The sequence below is a fragment of the Homo sapiens genome, chromosome 6 (genome assembly GCF_000001405.40).
Source record: "Homo sapiens chromosome 6, GRCh38.p14 Primary Assembly".
Classification (NCBI taxonomy): Eukaryota; Metazoa; Chordata; class Mammalia; order Primates; family Hominidae; genus Homo; species Homo sapiens.
Window position 1 is genome coordinate 24,667,726 of NC_000006.12, and position 20,705 is coordinate 24,688,430.

The 20,705-nt window shown below is 42.3% G+C and overlaps 1 protein-coding gene and 1 long non-coding RNA gene across 3 annotated transcripts in view, besides 3 other annotated features; one reads left to right on the forward strand and one right to left on the reverse strand.

Moving 5' to 3' along the window:
* The window catches only part of ACOT13 (acyl-CoA thioesterase 13), a 37,970-nt gene that overhangs the window by 649 nt on the left and 16,616 nt on the right, over nucleotides 1–20,705 (forward strand). Inside the window, exon 2 of one of the 2 annotated variants that reach the window (NM_001160094.2) lies at nucleotides 19,680–19,968. The exons of the other annotated variant lie outside the window; for it this stretch is intronic. Within the exon in view, the coding sequence (NP_001153566.1) occupies nucleotides 19,957–19,968 (12 nt within the window). The 5' untranslated portion in view covers nucleotides 19,680–19,956. The remainder of the gene's footprint in view (nucleotides 1–19,679; nucleotides 19,969–20,705) is intronic. 2 annotated transcript variants of the gene reach the window in all.
* Nucleotides 1,392–15,550, reverse strand: LOC124901279 (uncharacterized). The gene is made up of 2 exons (XR_007059509.1): nucleotides 2,924–15,550; nucleotides 1,392–2,213 (listed from the first exon to the last, which is right to left on the reverse strand). It is a non-coding gene; the product is annotated as an uncharacterized LOC124901279 (long non-coding RNA).
* Nucleotides 14,207–14,974: an enhancer, noted in NCBI's record as "H3K27ac-H3K4me1 hESC enhancer chr6:24682160-24682927 (GRCh37/hg19 assembly coordinates)". NCBI's record gives its function as "activates a minimal SCP1, AML or CMV promoter by ChIP-STARR-seq in naive H9 embryonic stem cells {active_cell/tissue: H9 hESC(naive)}" and the evidence as "EXISTENCE:reporter gene assay evidence [ECO:0000049][PMID:30033119]".
* Nucleotides 14,975–15,743: an enhancer, noted in NCBI's record as "NANOG-H3K27ac-H3K4me1 hESC enhancer chr6:24682928-24683696 (GRCh37/hg19 assembly coordinates)". NCBI's record gives its function as "activates a minimal SCP1, AML or CMV promoter by ChIP-STARR-seq in primed H9 embryonic stem cells {active_cell/tissue: H9 hESC(primed)}" and the evidence as "EXISTENCE:reporter gene assay evidence [ECO:0000049][PMID:30033119]".
* Nucleotides 15,744–16,510: an enhancer, noted in NCBI's record as "OCT4-NANOG-H3K4me1 hESC enhancer chr6:24683697-24684463 (GRCh37/hg19 assembly coordinates)". NCBI's record gives its function as "activates a minimal SCP1, AML or CMV promoter by ChIP-STARR-seq in primed H9 embryonic stem cells {active_cell/tissue: H9 hESC(primed)}" and the evidence as "EXISTENCE:reporter gene assay evidence [ECO:0000049][PMID:30033119]".

Here is a 20,705-nt window from a genome sequence, read left to right on the forward strand (position 1 = left end):
TGCAATAAGGTACAAAAGCCAAGTGCTTGGTAGAGTGGTGAACGAAGGGAGAAGTTGTTCCTCTGTAGTGGTTTGGGAAATTTCTCAAAGGCACCCAACTCCTGAAGAAGTAAGTTAGCCCTTGGAGGAAGACTGAGTGCTTTTCTGAGACCAGCACTCACAAAGCCCGAAGGTGTTTGTTTGTTTTTGTTTTTTTAGGATGAGGTTTCGCCCTTGTTGCCTAGGCTGGAGTGCAATGGCGCGATCTCGGCTCACTGCAACCTCCACCTCCCTGGTTCAAACAATTCTCCTGCCTCACTCAGCCTCCCGAGTGGCTGGGATTACAGGCATGCGCCACCATGCCCAGCTAATATTGTACTTTTAGTAGAGACAGGGTTTCTCCATGTTGGTCAGGCTGCTCTCGAACTCCCGACCTCAGGTGAAACGCCTGCCTCCGCCTCCCAAAGTGCTGGGATTACTGGTGTGAGCCGCCACGCCAGACCTTGAAGGTGTTTGTTGTTGTTGTTGTTTTGAGATGGAGTCTTGCTCTGTTGCCCATGCGGGAGTGCAGTGACACGATCTCGGCTCACTGCAACCTCCGCCTCCTGGGTTCAAGTGATTCTCATGCCTCAGCCTTCCAAGTAGCTGGGATGATTACAGGCATGCGCCACCAAGCCTGGCTAATTCTTTATTTTTATTAGAGACAGGGTTTCATCATGTTGGTCAGGCTGGTCTCAAACTGCTGACCTCAGGTGATCCACCTGCCTTGGCCTCCCGAAGTGCTGGGATTACAGGCATGAGCCACCATGCCCCGCCAAAAGCAGGGATTTACTGAAAATGAAAGGACACTCCTGTGTTTGGGGTGTGGAGCAGCAGCTCAGGGGCCCTAATACCCCATTGAAGTCTCCTATTGGCCACTTGGTACTCATCTCATGTAAATGAAGTGGTGACCCACAATTGGCTGTGAAAAGCAACCAATGAAAGGCTAAAGTGAAGTTACAAAGTTGCCCTTATATGCAAACGAAGACGTGGCGTGCAATCAGATGGTGAAGTTACATAGTTACACTCCTATGGGAAGATCTGATTGGTTGCAGAAAGAATAATTTTTTTTAAGGGATAACTTACTTCTTAGCGTAATTTTGCTTTTTGCAACCAATCAGAGGTACTTTCAATTTCCCATCTGCCACACAGAAAAGGTGGGGGTTTGGAAAGGGAGAAGCCTCTGGTTCTTTTGTTACTTGGTGTGGGAAGTTAGGGTTTTACTTTCAATTTAGTTCTAGGAAGTCAGCGTGAAACAGCCCTAGGTTCCCTGCCTCCAGATCCGATTCTCCTGCCTCGCTTGTAAGAAAATCATGCTCCATAAGAAGCATTTATAACTAAACCTTGTGAACCCCAAAAATTTGAGACAGGTATCAGTTAATTTAGAAAGTTTATTTTGCCAAGGTTGAGGATGCGCACGCAGTGACACAGCCTCAGGAGGTCCTGACAACATGTGCCCAAGGTGGTCAGAGCACAGCTTGGTTTTATGCGTTTTAGGGACATATAAGACATCAATCAATATATGTAAAATGAACACTGGTTGGGTTCGGAAAGGCGGGACAACTTGAAGCGGGAAGGGGGCTTCCAGGTCACGGGTAGGTGGGAGACAAATGGTTGCATTCTTTTGAGTTTCTGATTTACCTTTCCTAAGGAGGCAGTCAGATACACATTTATCTCAATGAGCAGAGGGATGACTTTGAATAGAATGGGAGGCAAGTTTGTCTTAAGTAGTTCCTAGCTTGAATTTTCCTTTTAACTTAGTGATTTGGGGGCCCAAGATATTTTCCTTTACATTTGCCCCCTTTTCTTTTTTTTAAAAAAAATTTTTTTTTGGAGAAAGCATTTTAGAAGAAAAATGAGTCTTTGGTCCCAGATTTCATCTGATCGCTCATGCTAGGATGGTTTATTCCTAGACAGGTAAGTCCCAAGTTATTAGGAAAGCTAATTTTTAGAAGGCTGTGAACTCCCATGTCTTGTGAAGAGAAAATAGGGGGAGGAAGGGTGAAAAACAACAAACAAAAGAACAATCCTGGAAAATATACATAGGCCACGTTATTCTGAAGTCCATACATCAGTAGGCAGGTATGAAAGTGGCTTATGCGTGTAAATAGGTTGCTGTTATTTTCTTCTGAAGTTTAAGTTGTCTAGCTTCAGTTTGCAGGGCTTTACAAAAGCACAGCTGTTTTCAGTGACTCCTAATTAGGAAAAAAAAGGAAAAGAAAAGAAAAAAATTAAAAATATTATTTTGGAGACTTGTAGCCAGGAAAAATTAGAATTCAGCCTAAACTGTAGAAAATAATAAAAATTGAAAAAATTAGGCAAGACTAGTATCTAACAACAAGTGGACTGTAAGTTTTGAAACAATTTTTCTCTCTCCAGTTTTCCATTTTTACTAAAGACAAATCATGGTAGGACTGATTTGCTTTATTATATTTGACCAGATTATTTATATAAAGTGTAGCAAGAATAATTATTTTTCACATAGGCTTTTTAAAATTGGCTTTGAAGGAACTTTGTTCCATAGAAGGAATCTCAGATAAGATTCTTTTTAAAGCCAAGCTCAGCCATGGATTTGTACCATCAAATACCTATGAGTAGGGTGAATTTCCTCTTTTTGATGTTCCATGATAAACCAGGGGCTCCTGGACCTGTCAGAAAATGACATTCTTTACTTAGCACATATCAGAAACCCTGTACAGGGACTTTGTAAAGTGTGAGGCCAGTTTTCCCAAGGGCTTTTATTGGCTCCATAAGTCAGGTTTGATTACTTAAAGGAAAGTACACCTTTCCACTCAAAGCCTTGGTAAAATAATCAGTTTCTCCAACTGTGTCCTGTTACAAATGAAAACAGATTCTTACTGCACTTATGCAAATAACTGTATTGGCACAAGTTAAGAATACTCACAAATAGTTTACAAATTCTGGAGAAATCAGGTAGAGAGAAACAAATATGCTCCAAATTTTGTTGATTGGAGTATACTAAATTGTTAAAAGCTGTCAATAGCTCAAAAGAAAAGTTTCAAGGCTCTGAAAAACAAAGCAAAAGATCAGCAATGTTTAAGCAAAAAGTCAAAAAGATTAGTTCAGTCCCCTTAGTTAATTCCTATTCTGCTTGATATTCATGAGCATTTTAGCTCTCCATGAGTTCTGAAAGTTTTTCCTCTATTCTCATGTAACAATCTCCAAAGTTAATGGAGACCTGCATTCAAGAGGAAACAACAGGTGCTGGAGAGGATGTGGAGGAATAGTTACGTTTTTACACTGTTGGTGGGAGTGTAAACTAGGTCAACCATTGTGGAAGACACTGTGGTGATTCCTCAAGGATCTAGAACTAGAAATACCATTTGACCCAGCCATCCCATTACTGGGTATATACCCAAAGGATTATAAATCATGCTACGATAAAGACACATGCACATGTATGTTTATTGCAGCACTATTCACCATAGCAAAGACTTGGAACCAACCCAAATGTCCATCAATGATAGACTGGATTAAGAAAAAATGACACATATACACGATGGAATACTATGCAGCCATAAAAAAGGATGAGTTCATGTCCTTTGTAGGGACATGGATGAAGCTGGAAACCATCATTCTCAGCAAACTATCACAAGGACAGAAAACCAAATACCGCATGTTCTCACTCATAGTTGGGAATTGAACAATGAGAACATTTGGACACAGGGCAGGGAACATCACACACTGGGGCCTGTCGTGGGGTGGGGGGATGGGGGAGGGATAGCACTAGGAGAAATACCTAATGTAAATGACGAATTAATGGGTGCAGCAAACCAACATGGCACATGTATACATATGTAACAAAACTGCACGTTGTGCACATGTACCCTAGAACTTAAAGTATAATTTAAAAAAACAAATTTAACAAAGAAAACATTATCAAGAATAAATAATGAATCTCAAAAAACAACAACAGCAACAACAAAAAAAAACACTTTCTAAAGAGGACCAAAACAACACAACAATTGTGCGTGGATGACTAAAAGTTTTAGGGCAGCCATAGGCAAAGACACAATTGACAAGGAAATTTGATACCTCTCCTCTGTAGCACACAATAATTTTAACGTAACAATTATGATTATTACTGATAATGTACACTAGGTCATATCAGAATTACAGGAATTTCCCATAATTTTGGAACACATACCAATAACATATTTATACAAATACATCTCAAAGAAAGCCAAACACTGTTGCATATTTGACAATGCTTCCTGTGTAATTTTTGTACCAAATAAGCCAAATTATGCCATTTTTGGACTTCAGGGAATCTAATATCTTAAAGGACTAATTAGGTCAGAAAAAGACATAATTTATAATTTGATTTTGGAAAGTTTGTCAAATATCAAATGTTTAAAACACCTGATATCACAAAAATAGGATCACAGGTCATTATAAAATAAATCATTCATTTAACCAAAGTGATAACTCAAGGATTTCATAAAAAGGTGAAAACCTTCATTCTTTGAGAGAGGGGACTTAACTTTCCAAACAATAAGCCCTAATAAAAACAGCATGAAGCTAATTAAATTTGTTTTCAAAATTTTATAAACAATCTATAAAATTTTAAACTTGACCATAAGATATAATTTCTAACTGGGCGTGGTGGCTCACGCCTATAATCCCAGCACTTTGGGAGGCCGAGGTGGGCAGATCAGGAGGTCAGGAGATCAAGACCATCCTGGCCAACATGGTGAAACCCCTTCTCTACTAAAAATACAAAAATTAGCTGAGTGTGGTGGCACGCGTCTGTAGTCCCAGCTACTCGGGAGGCTGAGGCAGGAGAATCGCTTGAAGCCAGGAGGCGGAGGTTACAGTGAGCTGAGATTGAGCCACTGCAGTTCCAGCCTGGGTGACAGGGCGAGACTCCATCTCAAAAAAAGAAAAGAAAACAAAAGATATAACTTCCATAAGCCTTTATAACCTTTATTAAGGAGTCAGTTAATGTGTCAAGAAAACCTTGTTAATCTGATTACAGGGGCCCATAAGCTGATCTTGCATCATTGTGCCTTTGACGTTAATCATTAATTTATAGAGAAACTGAACTTATTTTATCTTTCAAATTTGGACCTTACAGTCTTACCTGCCCACCTCTTCTTCGATAGTCTCTGGGCCTTGAGGAGTTGAATGCCTTTAATTTCTGGCCGTGTATCTCAGGAATGCAGTTTATTTTGATTGGCGTCTTCTACGGGGCCTGAAGATGACAGCTTCAATTGCTGTCAGTGTTTAAGATTTAGTAGGACTTGGTGTCCTTTTTAGACCCAGGAGTCAAAGCCCTGTAACCTAAGGTCACAAGGACTTTAAAAGCACATACAGGAAAATACCCAGTTGTAATCATGTTAATTAAAAAATCTTTTTTTAATCTCAGTTTTTTCCTAAACATAGGAATTATTTCAACAAAATGTAAACTCTGTTAGGTCAGTTACCAAAAAGCAAAAGAAAAGACCTTCTGCAATGCACAGAACATGATGTTGGAAGAAAACACTTCCTTTAGACCTTTAAGACAGTGTGCCTTTTTAAAGGGGAGAGAAAGCTGAAAAAAAATGGCAAGATGCAATAAAAATTGAACTTTCAGTTTTAAAAAAAAATTAAATTCTCTTATAATTTTTTTTTTGAAATAGAGTCTCGCACTGTTGCCCAGTTTGGAGTGCACTGGTGCAATCTTGGCTCACTGCAGCCTCTGCCTCTTGGGTTCAAGCAATTCTTGTGCCTCAGCCTGCCAAGTAGCTGGGACTACAGGCACATGCCACCAGGCCTGGCTAATTTTTGTATTTTTGTTAGAGACGAGGTGTCACTACGTTGGCCGGGCTAGTCTACAACTCCTGACCTCAAGTGATCCACCTGTCTTGGCCTCCCAAAGTGCTGGGATTACAGGCAGAAGCCACCATTCGTAGGCAAATTCTCTTATAATTTATTAAGAGTAAGTTAACCCCTTAAGAAAAGTTTATTTTTCTAACCAATAATTTCGTGTATATGTGTCTTTTTTAACATGAAGCCCAGTCTCTAGAAAGAGCATTATAATTTCCTTTTAATTGTAAACATGATCATATACAATTTTTTTAAAACAAATCCTCTTATTGTGACATACACAGACCATTCATGACATGCTTGAACTTTTATCTTAGGACTAAATTTACCATACAGTATTCTTTCTCATGTAAAATTATTTCTAAGCTTTCTTACCACATACAAAAAAAATTTGTTTTATAACTTCCTTTACAACATCTCTCTTATTTCCTGATTCCTTTACCTTGTTGTATACATAACCTTTAAATAAGTTTTGTGGGGTTTTTTTTGTTTGTTTGTTTTTTATCTGAGACAGAGTCTTGCTCTGGCACCCAGGCTGGAAGGCAATGGCCCGATCTTGGCTCACTGCAACCTCCACCTCCTGGGTTCAAGTGATTCTCCTGCCTCAGCCTCTCGAGTCGCTGGGATTACACGTGCACCACAATGCCCAACTAATTTTATATTTATAGTAGGGACAGGGTTTCACCATGTTGATCAAGCTGGTCTTGAACTGACTTCAAGTGATCTGCATGCCACGGCCTCCCAAAGTGCTGGGATTGCAGGCATGAGCCGCTGCCCCTGGCCTAAATAAGCTTTGAATTAGACAAAACTTGTTCACCGTTTTTGGGGGGTTTTGTTTGTTTTTTTGTTTTTTTGAGATAGAGTCTCATTCTGTCACCCAGGCTGGAGTGCAGTTGCGTGATTTCAGCTGAGTGCAGCGTCTGCTTCCTGTGTTCAAGTTATTCTCCTGCGTCAGCCTCCTGAGTAGGTGGGATTACAGGCGCCTGCCACCACGCCTGGCTAATTTTCATTTTTTGTATATTTAGTAGAGACAGGGTTTCACCATGTTGGCCAAGCTAGTCTCAAACTCCTGACCTCAAGTGATCTGACTGCCTTGGCCTCCCAAAATGCTGGGATTACAGGCATGAGTCAGTGCACCCAGCCCTAGAGTTCAACTGTTTTTTTATTTTCTTATTATACTTTAAGTTCTAGGGTACATGTGTGCAACGTGCAGGTTTGTTACATATGTATACATGTGCCATGTTGGTGTGCTGCACCCATTAACTCATCATTTACATTAGGTATATCTCCTAATGCTATCCCTCCCCCCTCCCCCCACCCCACGACAGGCCCCGGTGTGTGATGTTCCCCACCCTGTGTCCAAGTGTTCTCATTGTTCAGTTCCCATCTATGAGTGAGAACATGTGGTGTTTGGTTTTCTTTCCTTGAAATAGTTTGCTGAGAATGATGGTTTCCAGCTTCATCCGTGTCCCTACAAAGGACATGAACTCATCCTTTTTTATGGCTGCATAGTATTCCATGGTATATATGTGCCACATTTTCTTATTCCAGTCTATCATTCATGGACATTTGTGTTGGTTCCAAGTCTTTGCTATGGTGAATAGTGCTGCAGTAAACATACATGTGCATGTGTCTTTACAGCAGCATGATTTATAATCCTTTGGGTATATACCCAGTAATGGGATGGCTGGGTCAAATGGTATTTCTAGGTGTAGATCCTTGAGGAATTGCCAGTGTCTTCTACAATGGTTGAACTAGTTTACAGTCCCACCAACAGTGTAAAAGTGTTCCTATTTCTCCACATCCTGTCCAGCACCTGTTGTTTCCTGACTTTTTAATGATCACCATTCTAACTGGTGTGAGATGGTATCTCATTGTGGTTTTGATTTGCATTTCTCTGATGGCCAGTGATGAAGAGCATTTTTTCATGTATCTGTTGGCTGCATAAATGTCTTATTTTGAGAAGTGTCTGTTCATATCCTTTGCCCACTTTTCGATGGGGTTGTTTGATTTTTTCTTGTAAATTTGTTTAAGTTCTTTGTAGATTCTGGATATTAGCCCTTTGTCAGTTGGGTAGATTGTAAAAATTTTCTCCCATCCTGTAGGTTGCCTGTTCACTCTAATGGTAGTTTCTTTTGCTGTGCAGAAGCTCTTTAGTTTAATTAGCTCCCATTTGTCAATTTTGGCTTTTGTTGCCATTGCTTTTGGTGTTTTAGACATGAAGTCTTTGCCTATGCCCTGAATGGTATTGTCTAGGTTTTCTTCTAGGGTTTTTATGGTTTTAAGCCTAACATTTAAGTCTTTAATCCATCTTGAATTAAGTTTTGTGTAAGGTGTAAGGAAGGGATCCAGTTTCAGCTTTCTACATATGGCTAACCTGTTTTCCCAGCACCATTTATTAAAAGGGAATCCTTTCCCCATTTCTTGTTTTTGTCAGGTTTGTCAAAGATGAGATGGTTGTAGATGTGTGGTATTATTTCTGAGGGCTCTGTTCTGTTCCATTGGTCTATATCTCTGTTTTGGTACCAGTACCATGCTGTTTTGGTTACTGTAGCCTTGTAGTATAGTTTGAAGTCAGGTAGCGTGATGCCTCTCCAGCTTTGTTCTTTTGGCTTAGGATTGTCTTGGCAATGCAGGCTCTTTTTTGGTTCCATATGAACTTTAAAGTAGTTTTTTCCAATTCTGTGAAGAAAGTCATTGGTAGCTTGATGGGGATGGCATTGAATCTATAAATTACCTTGGGCAGTATGGCCATTTTCACGATATTGATTCTTCCTATCCATGAGCATGGAATGTTCTTCCATTTGTTTGTGTCCTCTTTTATTTCGTTGAGCAGTGGTTTGTAGTTCTCCTTGAAGAGGTCCTTCACATCCCTTGTAAGTTGGATTCCTAGGTATTTTATTCTCTTTGAAGCAATTGTGAATGGGAGTTCACTCATGATTTGGCTGTTTGTCTGTTATTGGTGTATAGGAATGCTTGTGATTTTTGCACATTGATTTTGTATCCTGAGACTTTGCTGAAGTTGCTTATCCGCTTAAGGAGATTTTGGGCTGAGATGATGGGGTTTTCTAAATATACAATCATGTCATCTACAAACAGGGACAATTATAGAAGGACTGGGGGTCCTTCTATAAGCATTTCTAATAGAGGGTCCTGCCTTGCCGCTCTTTTGGCTTCAATATCCGCTTGGCAGTTCCTTTCTGTTTCCCTTTCCTTTCTGGTGACTCTGGCAGTGTAAGACTGCCACCTCTTTAGGTTTCTGTACAGCCAATAGTAATCTCCTAATGGCTTCCTGATGTTTGATAGGTGTTCCCTCGGAAGTTAGGAATTCCCCTCTCTCCATATTGCTGCATGGGCATGGAGGACTAGGTAAGCGTACTTAGAGTCTGTATATATATTTACCCTTTTCCCTTCTCCTAATTCTAGTGCCCGAGTGAGGGCTATTAGTTCTGCATGCTGAGCACTAGTTCCTGGAGTGAGGGGATTAGTTTCAAGTATTCCATTATCACTGACCACTGCATACCCCGCTTTTCAAAGTCCTTTTTCTGCAAAGGAACTTCCATCAGTATACAAGTTGAGGTTGGGATCAGTCAAGGGAACCCCTAAAAGGTCCCCTTGAGCAGCATTAGGTTTGAGCAATCACATGTTGGCATTTATGTTCTATCTTTTCTTCATTGTCTGGAAGAAATGTGGCTGTGTTAAGAGTTGCACAAGTGCGCAGTCACACCACTGGCCCATCAAGTAATAGAGCCTGATATTTAAGTAAACGGTTGTCTGACAGCCACAAGTCTCCTTTAGCAGTGAGTATGCCATTCACATCATGAGATGTTCACACAGTAAGATCTCTTCCCTGTATTACTTTAACTGCTTCAGATACTAAGACTGCTACTGTTGCCACTACCCGTAAACAATGAGGCCAACCCTTTGCCAGTACATCAATTTCCTTACTCAGGTATGCCACAGGTTGCAAGCTGGTCCCTCGGACCTGTATAAGGACTCCTAGAGCTATTCCTGTTTCTTTTGCGACATATAAAGAAAAGTCTTGCCCCATTGGCAAGCTTACCACTGGGGCTTGGGTTAGGGCCTTCTTTAGGGCCTGAAAAGCCACTTCTGCTTCAGGTGTCCATCTTACTAAATGGGTATTGGCTTTCTGAGTTTCCTTAGTGTGTATAATGGCCTGACTATTTCGCTGTACCTGGGAATCCATATTCGGCAGAAGCTTGTTATGCCAAGGAACCCTCTTAGTTGCTTTAGGGTTTTGGGATGAGGATAAGCCAGTATAGGCTGGATACGTTCCTCACTGAGGGCCCTTGTGCCTTTGGATAATTTTAGCCCTAAGTTTTTAACCTGCTGTGAGCAGAGCTGAGCATTTTGTTTGGAAACCTTGTAGCCACAGGTAGCAAGGAAATTTAAGAGTGCTTGGGTGGCTTGATGGCACCAGGTTTCTGATCGGGTGGCTAAAATTAAATCATCCCCGTACTGAAGGACAAGAGTGTCCAGGTATGAGAATTGGCTCAAGTCTTGGGCTAATGCCTGGCCAAATAGATGGGCGCTATGCTTGAACCCTTGGGGTAAAACAGTCCAGGTGAGTTGAGACATTGGGTTCAAAGGATCTTCAAAGGCAAACAAGAATTGAGAGTCAGGGTGTACAGGGATGCAGAAAAAGGCATCCTTAAGGTCCAGGACTGTAAACCACTCTGCTTTCTGTGGTTTTTGGGAAAGCAGAGTACAAGGGTTAGGTATAGCAGGGTATAGAGGAAGAACAGCCTCATTGATAATCCTGAGATCTTGCACTAACCTCCACTGTCCATTAGGTTTCTGTACTCCTAAAACTGGAGTATTGCAGGGGCTATTGCATGGTTTTACTAGGCCTTGGGCTTTTAAGTCCTTAACAATCTTTTGGAGTCCTTGTTGGGCCTCAGGTCTAAGGGTACTGCCTTTGGTAGGGAAAGGAGGTAGAATCCTTTAATTTAACTTGAATAGGACAGGCATTCTTTGCTCATCCATATTGTCCTTCTGTTGCCCAGACGTCAGGATTAATTCCTTCCTCAAGCAGGGGAAAACAAACAGGTGTTCCTTCTCCTATGTTCAGATATATAATGGCCCCTGCTTTTGCTAGAATGTCTCCCCCTAACAAGGGAGTGGGGCTTTCAGGCATAATTAGAAAAGCATGTGAAAAGAGTAAAGTTCCCCAGTCACAACTTAGTGGCTGTCCTAGGACCCCTCGGATAGTGACAGATCTGGAGGACAGTTGTCTGGGACAGGAGAGTAAGACTGAGAAGGCCATGCCAGTGTCCAGGAGACAGTTAACCTCCTGGCCTTCAATGTTCAAGCATACCCGGGGCCCTGTGAGGGTGATGGCATGGGCTGGTGCTTGCCCCGGGCACCCTCAGTCCTGCTGCTGGATCATCTGGTTAGTGGCTTCTGACTCAGAGGACCTTCGTCCCCTGGGGCAATGGGCCTTCCAGTGATTCCCTTGACATAAGGGGCATGGACGAGGGGGCAGCTTACTTCTACTTGGACAATCTTTTTTAAAGTGTCCTTGTAGACCACACTGGAAGCAAGCCATATTAGGCATTCGATTTGCCCAGCTTTTCCCTTTTCCAGAGACTCCAAAGTCCGCTTGCCTGAGGGCCATGACTAAAGCAGTGGCCTTTTTTTTTATCCCGTTTGTCCCATTCCGCCTGCTTCTCCTGATCTGTATTATAAAAAACCGAGGTTGCCAAGTTCAATAGGGTCTAAGTTTTGCTCTGGGCCTAAGGCGGACTTTTGAAGTTTTTTTCTAATGTCTGCAGTTGACTGAGTGATAAACTTATCCTTTAAGATTAGTTGGCCTTCAATAGAGTCAGGTGACAGAGAGGTATGCTTCCTCAATGCCTCCCTTAGTCTCACCAGAAAGGCAGTAGGATTTTCTTCCTTTCCCTGTGTTATAGTGGACATCATTGCATAATTCATAGGCTTCTTCCTAGTTTTCCTTAGTCCTAGCACACAAGTTAGCAAATGTCTGCGGCACCAATTTCCATGTTCTGATTCTGTGTCCCAATGAGGGTCTACACTGGGAACTGCCTGCTGGCCTGTGGGGAATTGTTCTCTTTCCTCTGTTGTCATCCTATCATTGACCTGACTGAGATACCAGAGATCACCAAACTCTTCGGGCTGCAGTTATGGCGACACTTCTCTCATTTGGGGTTAGTGTCTGATTTAGCAGTAACATTATATCTCTCCACATCAGATCAAAAGATTGTCCTAACCCTTATAAAACTTCAGTATAGCCATCAGGGTTATCTGAGAATTTACCTAGGTCTATTTTAATTTGCTTTAAGTCTGAGAGAGAAAAAGGTACATGCACTCTGGCTGGGCCGAATTCTGCTCCTCACATTGCTTGGAGGGGGCATAATCGGGGAATATTGGCACTGTTTGGTTCATTGTTTATCCCTTTGTCTATCTTCTTTGGACCTTTGGGTAAAAGGGGGGTCCCTTATTAGTTGCAGAAGGAGTCGGGGGGATGCTGAGATAGGGAGGCAGACTCTGAGGGCTTCCTGTAGGGCATAAACCACACTTTTTACATAATTGCGAGTTGTCTCTTAATGAAAAGGAAGTTTGCACATATGGCACTTCACTCCATTTGCCCTCCTTTCTACAGAAGAGGTCAAGCTGTAAGATGGTGTTATAATTTATACTTCCCTCAAGAGGCCAGGTTTCTCCCCCTTGAAGAGGATATCATGGCCAGGCAGTACTGCAGAAGAATATAAGTCATTTCTTTCTTAGCGTCTGAGGGTCAAATTGGTCCTTATTCTCCAGAATACATCTTAAGGGCGTTTTTGCCTTGGGGTGTGGGGAACGTTTCCGATCTGAAAAAAGAACATAGGGATGCCAGCACCCCTAGTCATTTTCCGATGAGCATTAGTCCTAAAGCATCCTCTAAGGGCCTAATGCTTATTCTTTTCCAGGGTGCGTAACCACCCATGGACCTCTGCTTATCGGATTAGTTACGCTCACCAATGTAGCAGTCCTGCACCTATTTTTCCACCTCTCTTGACCACAAAGAAAGGGGTCTGGGCTGCTGGATTCTAGTGGTCCTTTACCAGCGTGCCCGACATTGCTTTTGCGCTCAGGGGTGAGTCCTAGAGCTGGGCTGGGTTCCTGGGTATTTCATAACAACCCAGCTGCCCCATCAAGATGCATTCCCATAAACAACACTCTTATGCAAATTCGTTTCAGAGAGGTGTAGCGAACCTTTTGAGTCAGGATTGAAATAGTCTTTTGATTATGTAAGTATGGGCTTGGCTGAGTGCAAACAGCTCGCACGTTTGAGGAGACCAATTATTAGGCAATTTTTCTAACTCTGCTTCCACAGAGTCTCTGTATTAATTACTGAATACCTATTGTGGTTTTTTCCCTCAATCACCTGGGAGGAACCATCTATCGTCCTGTCCTGAAGGGAGTTCCTCCTAGGTCTGGTCGGACCTTTGTATGGTAATTAAGATTTAAATCCTTTGTTAGGAAATCTGCTGGGTTAAGTGAATTATCAGTGGTTGGAGTTACATTACCCTTTTCTAACATAATAGCCCCATACTTTAAGATTTTTGATTTAGTAAGCTACCTTTTTGCTTTTTTTTTAACTTAGAATAATGTAACTGGTGAGGTGTGCTCACAAGAAGGTTTCCTCTAAAAGTTACTTTTCTACTTTTAGCAAAGCAGTTGCCGCTACCGACTGAATGCATTTGGCCCATCCGCGGGTTACTGGGTTAAGGATTTTTTATAGGAAAGCTACAGGTTGCCAGTGGCCTCAGTGCTTTTGGGCTACGCCCTTATTTACATTGACAACAGTGGTATTGGAGTATTATAGAGTCATAGAGAAGACCTTCAATTATCAATTACAGGTTTTAAATTTACGCTGGCTTTTAAAGGAATAGGGCACACTTTTTTTTTTTATTCTATCTTTTTCTTTCTTTTTCTCTTTGACTCTGTCTTTGTCTCTCTCTCCGTCTCTCCCTCTCTCTCCGTCTCTCTCTCTCTCAGCCATTACAAACTTGGGGCCCTGGCAAGGGTAGTGGGGAACGGGTCCCACATAACTGCCCATGTCGAGAGCTGCATACCTGAATCAGGAGGGACACCAGGGATAAGACTCCCTGGGTTACAGCCCAGGTGCCTAAGGACACAACGCAGAGCCTCCCTAGATCCCTTTGGAGATACAACTTGCTAGAGGAAATGAAAGTGTGAACCATTAGTACCTAGGAGGCAGGGATCAGAGGAAGTAGATTCAAAGGTAAGGAGAATTTTGGGGCTACACTTTCAAGAAAGTCGTGGTCAGGACCCATGAGGTATGGGTCAGAAGGAAAGGTAGGGGCGCACCCATGGGCGACTGTTGAGTAGAGACTTCTGGCTGCGCCATGATCTCAACAGGCTAATGCCGGGAGTTCTGGACGACAGCTTTCTGCCTCTAGTCAGCCCTCGGATTCCCCAAGAAAATTGAAAGTGGAAGCTGGCTCCAAGCAGACCAACGTCCCCAACCCAGAAGGGTTGGGGGTTGTTAGAAAGCCCTTCCGCAGATAGCGTAACACCTGAGTCTTAAGTCCGGCGGCCACGCTAATCGTTTTTAACTGGCTGACAGGTGCCCAGTATTTTCCTCCAATTCTAAGGAAGGATAGGACAGAATAACAAGCGAAAGTGGTCCAATATTACTCACCGCTTTGGATGTCCCTTCGTGGTCACCAAAATGTTACCGGGGGTCCTTGCTTCCAGAGCTCCCAAGATGGTTGTGGGCCACTTCCACAATGGTGGCAGGCCACTTCCAAGATGGTGGCAAGCCTCGTGTTCTCTTACCTGGGGTTCTTGGCCTCACGGATTCCAAGGAATGGAATCTTGGGCCATGCGGTGAGTGTTATAGCTCTATTAGAAGACATGGGTCACGGAAGAGAACCGTGGAACCCAGTGACTAGTGTTCAGCTTGATTAGGATGAACCCAGGCACTTAGCTGTGCAGGAACAATGGCAAGCCTTTAGCCTGATTGGGAGTGGCAATGGACACCTCGCTGGATCAGGAGCACAGCGGACACCCTGCTGGATCCGGAGGGATGGGAGTCAGTGGTGGGTCTGCAGTGGCAGGTCTGCGGTGGCGGGTCTGCGATGGCGGCAAACAGCAGTGGTGGATGGCGAGCGAAAGCTCAGCTCGAGCCATAACAAACATGGACCAGAAGAGTGCAGTTACAAGATTTAATAGAGTGAAATAGAGTGAAAACAGAGCTCCCACACAAAGAGAGGGGACCCAAAGAGGGTTGCTGTTGCCAGCTTGAACGCCTGGGTTTGTATCCCGATCCTTGTCCCTCCCACTGTGCTCTCAGGCAATAGATGATTGGCTATTTCTTTGCCTCCTGTTTTTGCCTAATTAGCATTTTAGTGAGCTCTCTGATTGGTTGGGTGTGAGCTAAGTTGCAAGCCCCGTGTTTAAAGGTGGATGCGGTCACCTTCCCAGCTAGGCTTAGGGATTCTTAGTTGGCCTAGGAAATCCAGCTAGTCCTGTCTGTCAGTTTGAGCCATAAAGTTAGCTCATGCTGGTACCAAGCACTGATAGGAGATTTGTCAAAGGTCAGGGGCACCTCCACTCAGATCCCTTTATGGTTACCAAATGTGAACCCCAAAAATTTGAGACAGGTCTCAGTTAATTTAGAAAGTTTATTTTGCAGTTGGGCCCGGTGGCTCACGCCTGTAATCCCAGCACTTTGGGAGGCCAAGGCAGGCAGATCATCTGAGGTCAGGAGTTCAAGACCAGCCTGGCCAACATGGTGAAACCCTGTCTCTACCAAAATACAAAAATTAGCCAGGTGTGGTGGCAAATGCCTGTAATCCCAGCTACTCAGGAGGCTGAAACATGAAAATCGCTTGCACCAAGAGGCGGAGTTTGCAGTGAGCCGAGATTGTGCTGCTGCGCTCCAGCCTGGGTGGACAGAGTGAGACTGTCTCTCTCAAAAAAAAAATTAAGTTTATTTTGCCAAGGTTGGTTCTGATGACGTGCCCAAGGTGGTCAGATCACAGCTTGGTTTTATACATTTTAGGAGACATGAAACATCAGTCAATATATATAAAATGAACATTGGTTCGGTCTGGAAAGGTAGGACAACTCGAAGTAGGGAGGGGGCTTCCAGGTCACAGGTAGGTGGGAGACCAACTGCTGCATTCTTTTGAGTTTCTAATTAGCCTTTCTAAAGGAAGCAATCAGATACGCGTTTATCTCAGTGAGCAGAGGGATGACTTTGAATAGAATGGGAGGCAGGTTTGCCCTAAGCAGTTCCCAGCTTGAATTTTCCTTGTAGCTTAGTGATTTTGGGGCCCAAGATATTTTCTTTCACAGCGTGAAAAACAAAAGCCCTTGGTATTGTCAGCTTCTTGAGTTAGTTAACCTAAGAACGTTTAGGGGGTTTCATAAATGTTTTAATGCATGCATGTCTGTTTTTCTGATTAAGATAGAATACTGGGAAATTTGGAAGTGGAGTTTAAACACAGAATCAGCTGCAGTCATGTATAGGTCCCCTCCTGAAACACAACTCTCAGGCTGTGTTGTAACAACGTATATAATAACTGTCCCTAACTATCTCTCAGGGCTTTTGTGAAAAATAGAGGAAATAATACTTAGACAAATACATTTAATGTTTTCAAATGGCAAATGGCATAAAATCCAAGGGCATACTATTTGATAGTAACTCTTTGAAAGATAAGTTATCCAGAAAAGGATGTATTGGCCTAAGGGGATCTTTGAATTCCTTAAAAATCTGTAGTCATTTTCCTTGGTAAGCTTTCAACAACTTCATGAGTGTGTATCTTCTTGTGATAATCTTGCCATGGGTTGGATTGCCTTTGAGTATCCGGTTAAAATCCTCATACCTTGAACAGACACACTGGAATAGTCATAAACTACATCCTTGCCTAAGTTGGCAGTGATGGTAACTTGCCTTCCAAGAAGACTGATATGCCCGTTGAACCAGAAGTTGCAGTACGGCTGAAGTGTCCAGATTAGTGCTAACTGGTGGAAATACAATGTAAGCTACAATGTGAGTGATATCTGTAGTTATAAATTGTAAAATAGCCACGTTTTAAAAAGTGAAAAGAAATAGGTGAAATTAATTTTAGTAATACAGGTAACAGTATATAAAAAGTGTTAATCAGGCAGACATGGTCTCATGCCTATAATCCCAGTGCTTTGGGAGGCCCAGGTGGGAAGGTTACTTGAGGCTAGGAGTTTGAGACTAGCCTGGGCAACATAGCAAGACCCCTTCTCTACAAAAAATTAAAAATTTTCCAGGCATGATAGTGCGTAGATGTGGTCTCCTCTTCTCTGAAGGCTGAGGCAAGAGGATCCCTTGAGCCCAGGATTTCAAGGCTGCAGTGAGCTATGATTGTACCACTGCACTCCAGCCTGGTGACAAAGTGAGACCCTGTCTCTAAAAAAAATTTTTTTTTAATTTTTTTGAGTCTTAAATCTTTCCATACTTAATTTTTGAAATCCAGTGTGAATTTTATACTTACAGTACGTCTGAGTTCAGACTAGCCACATTGCAAGTGCTCAGTACTGACGTGGCTACTGGCTGTTGAACTGTACAGATTGATACCATTGTAGGTACTTTGTATTTGCTAATTTGATCTAAAAGAGGTTTTGTGGCTGTTTATGTTTTGTATAGGCAGAGTTGCTAGGGATAAAGTATGTATTTATGCATAGTAATTCATAAATCTAGTTGTAGACATGGTCTCTTTCCTTTTACTGTACTTTTTTTTTTTTTTTTTTTTTTTTTTTTTTTTGATACAGAGTCTTGCTCTGTTGCCCAGGCTGGAGTGCAGTGGTGCAATCTCGGCTCACTGCAAGCTCCGCCTCCCGGGTTCACACCATTCTCCTGCCTCAGCCTCCCGAGTAGCTGGGACTACAGGCGCCTGCCACCACGCCCGGCTAATTTTTTGTATTTTTAGTAGAGACAGGGTTTCACCATGTTAGCCAGGATGGTCTCGATCTCCTGACCTCATGATCCACACGCCTCAGCCTCCCAAAGTGCTGGGATTACAGGCGTAAGCCACCGCGCCCGGCCCTTTTACTGTACTTTTTAAGGTAATATTAACTACACAAGCTGTTCTCAGTTGGAGGTGATTTTGCTCCCCGAGGGACATTGGCAAAGTCTGGAGACATTTTTGAGGGACACTACTGGCATCTAATGGATAGAGACCAGAAGTGGTGCTAAATATCTTACAGTGTACAAATCTGTGCCCTATTCCCCCACAACAAAAAAGTATGCAGTCCAAATGTTCATAGTGCTAAAGTGAAAAGCATTGACTTAGAACAAAGATTAACAGTCAGGCTGAGTACCATAGCGCACACTTGTAATCCCAGCACTTTGGGAGGCCTAGGTGGGAGAATTGCTTGAGGGCAGGAGTTCAAGACCACCCTGGCTAACATAGGGTGTTAGACTCAATCTCAATTTAAAAAAAGGAAAAAAAAAAAGGTTAACCGTCAGACTAAATGTCCTGCTCTTGATATAAAGATCACTTTTAAATTTGTCAACAAACTAAGTACTGTGGGACTATAAAGAAATACTAACCATAGTTCTTGGCCTCTAGGAATTTATAACCTAGGAATGGAAAGTGTATTGCAAGGAAGAGTCCCATCAGAGGTACTGTTTAGAAAAGGAGTTTCATGAGTAAGTTCAGGAAACACTGATGTATCCTTTTTTAAAAATTTTGGTAAAATACACATAACATAAAATTTAATACCTGTGTTAGTCCATTTGCGTTGCTATAAAGGAATACCTGAGACTGGGTAATTTATAAAGAAAAGAGGATTATTTTGACTCACAGTTCTGCAGGCTGTACAAGAAGTGGGGTGCTTGCTTCTGGTGAGGGCTCAGGAAGCTTACAATCATGTCTGAAAGCAAAGTGCAAGCAGGTGCGTCAAATGGCAAGAGAGAGGGAGTGCCACACTCTTTTTTTTCTTTTCTTTTCTATTTTATTTTATTCTATTCTTTTTTCTTTTCTTTCCTTCCTTCCTTTCTTTCTTTTCTTCCTCTCCTTTCTTTCTCTTTCACTCTTTCTCTCTTTCTTCTCTCTCTTTCTCTCTCTCTCTTTTCTGTCTTCTCTTCTCTTCTTCTTTTCTTTTCTTTTCTTTTTTCTTACAGGATCTTACCCTGTCACCCAGGCTAGAGTACAGTGGCACATTCACAGCTCACTGCAGCCTCAACCTCCTGGGCTCAAGCAATCCTCCTTGTCTCAGCCTCCCATGTAGCTGGGACCACAGGGGCGTGCCACCATCTCCAGCTAATTTTTAAAATTTTTTGTAAAAACAGGCCTCACTTTGTTGCCTAGGCTGCTACACTCTTTTAAACAATCAGATCTTGCATGAGCAAGAGGGGCACCAAACCATTCGTGAGAAATCTATCCCCATTACCCAAACACCTCTCACTAGGCCCTACCTCAGCATTAGGGATCACATTTCAACAGGAGATTCGGAGGAGACACACACCATCTTAACCATTTCTAAGTGTACAGTTTTGTAATATTAATTACATCCTCATTGTTTTGCAATGATTACCACTATCCATCTACGGAAGTCTTTCCATCTTGCAAAACTGGAACTACGACCCATTAAACAATAACTCTCCATTTCTCCTTGCCCCCAGCTCTGGCTACCACCATTCTACTTTCTGTCTCTATGAACTGACTACTCTAGGTACTTCATATAAGTGGATATGTTGTATCCCTTTTACATATTAAAACTTTTGAGTAGTTCTGCAGTAAATAAATATGCTTAACATTATCGTGTTTAAGTTAGTTGCCATTGAAACTTTTCTCCCACAGTAACACGTGGAGGAACATACGTTGGGAATATCAACTGACACGCACTGTGCTAGGATCTAGAAATACCATGTGGACTCCAACACACATAGAAATAAGGAAGTGGAATTCCAAAGGAAGGCAAAGTGTAAAGTCATCTTTATGGAAATGAGTGATGAAGGTGAATACCTGAATGAGATGTCAAGAGGAGGAACACACTGGAGAGAAGCAGTAAAGATTTAGGACTGAACCTTAAAGACATACAGGCTTGAGAGAAAGAAAGCATGTAAAGAAGACAGAAATGGTTAGAAAGGTAAGAATAGAATTTTTTTTTTTTTTTTTTTTTTTGAGACAGAGTCTCACTTTATTGCCCAGGCTGGAGTACAATGGTACGATCTTGGCTCAACTGCAACCTCTGCCTCCCAGGTTCAAGTATTTCTCCTGCTTCAGCCTCCAGAGCAGCTGGGATTACAGGCACGCGCCACCATGCCTGGCTAATTTGTGTATTTTTAGCAGAGATGGGGGTTTCACCGTATTGGCGAGGCTGGTCTCAAACTCCTGACCTCAAGTGATCCTCCTGCCTCAGCCTCCCAAAGTGCTAGGATTACAGGTGTGAGCCACCGCACCCAGCCAGAAGAATAGATCTTATACTTACTATTAATAGAAAAACTTATAGATTTTGGACTGACTACAAAAGGGCAGTGATATTCAAAATTGATCAACATGATACACAAATAGATATTTTCAAGTTCATTGGTCATTAAAACTGTCTTATGTATAAGCAATACACAAGACAAAATAAGGCATTTTTTTTTCAAAGATCTATGCACAAAAAAATTTGTTGCAGCATTATTTGTGATATCAAAAGTGGGAAATAGCTGGGCATGGTGGCTCATGCCTGTAATCCCAACACTTTAGGAGGTGAAGGCAGTAGGATAGCTTGAGCCCAGGAGTTTGAGACCAGCCTAGGCAACAAAATGAGATCCCATCTCTACAAAAAAATAAAAAAATTAACCAGGTGTGGTGGTGTGTGCCTGTGGCCCCAGCTGT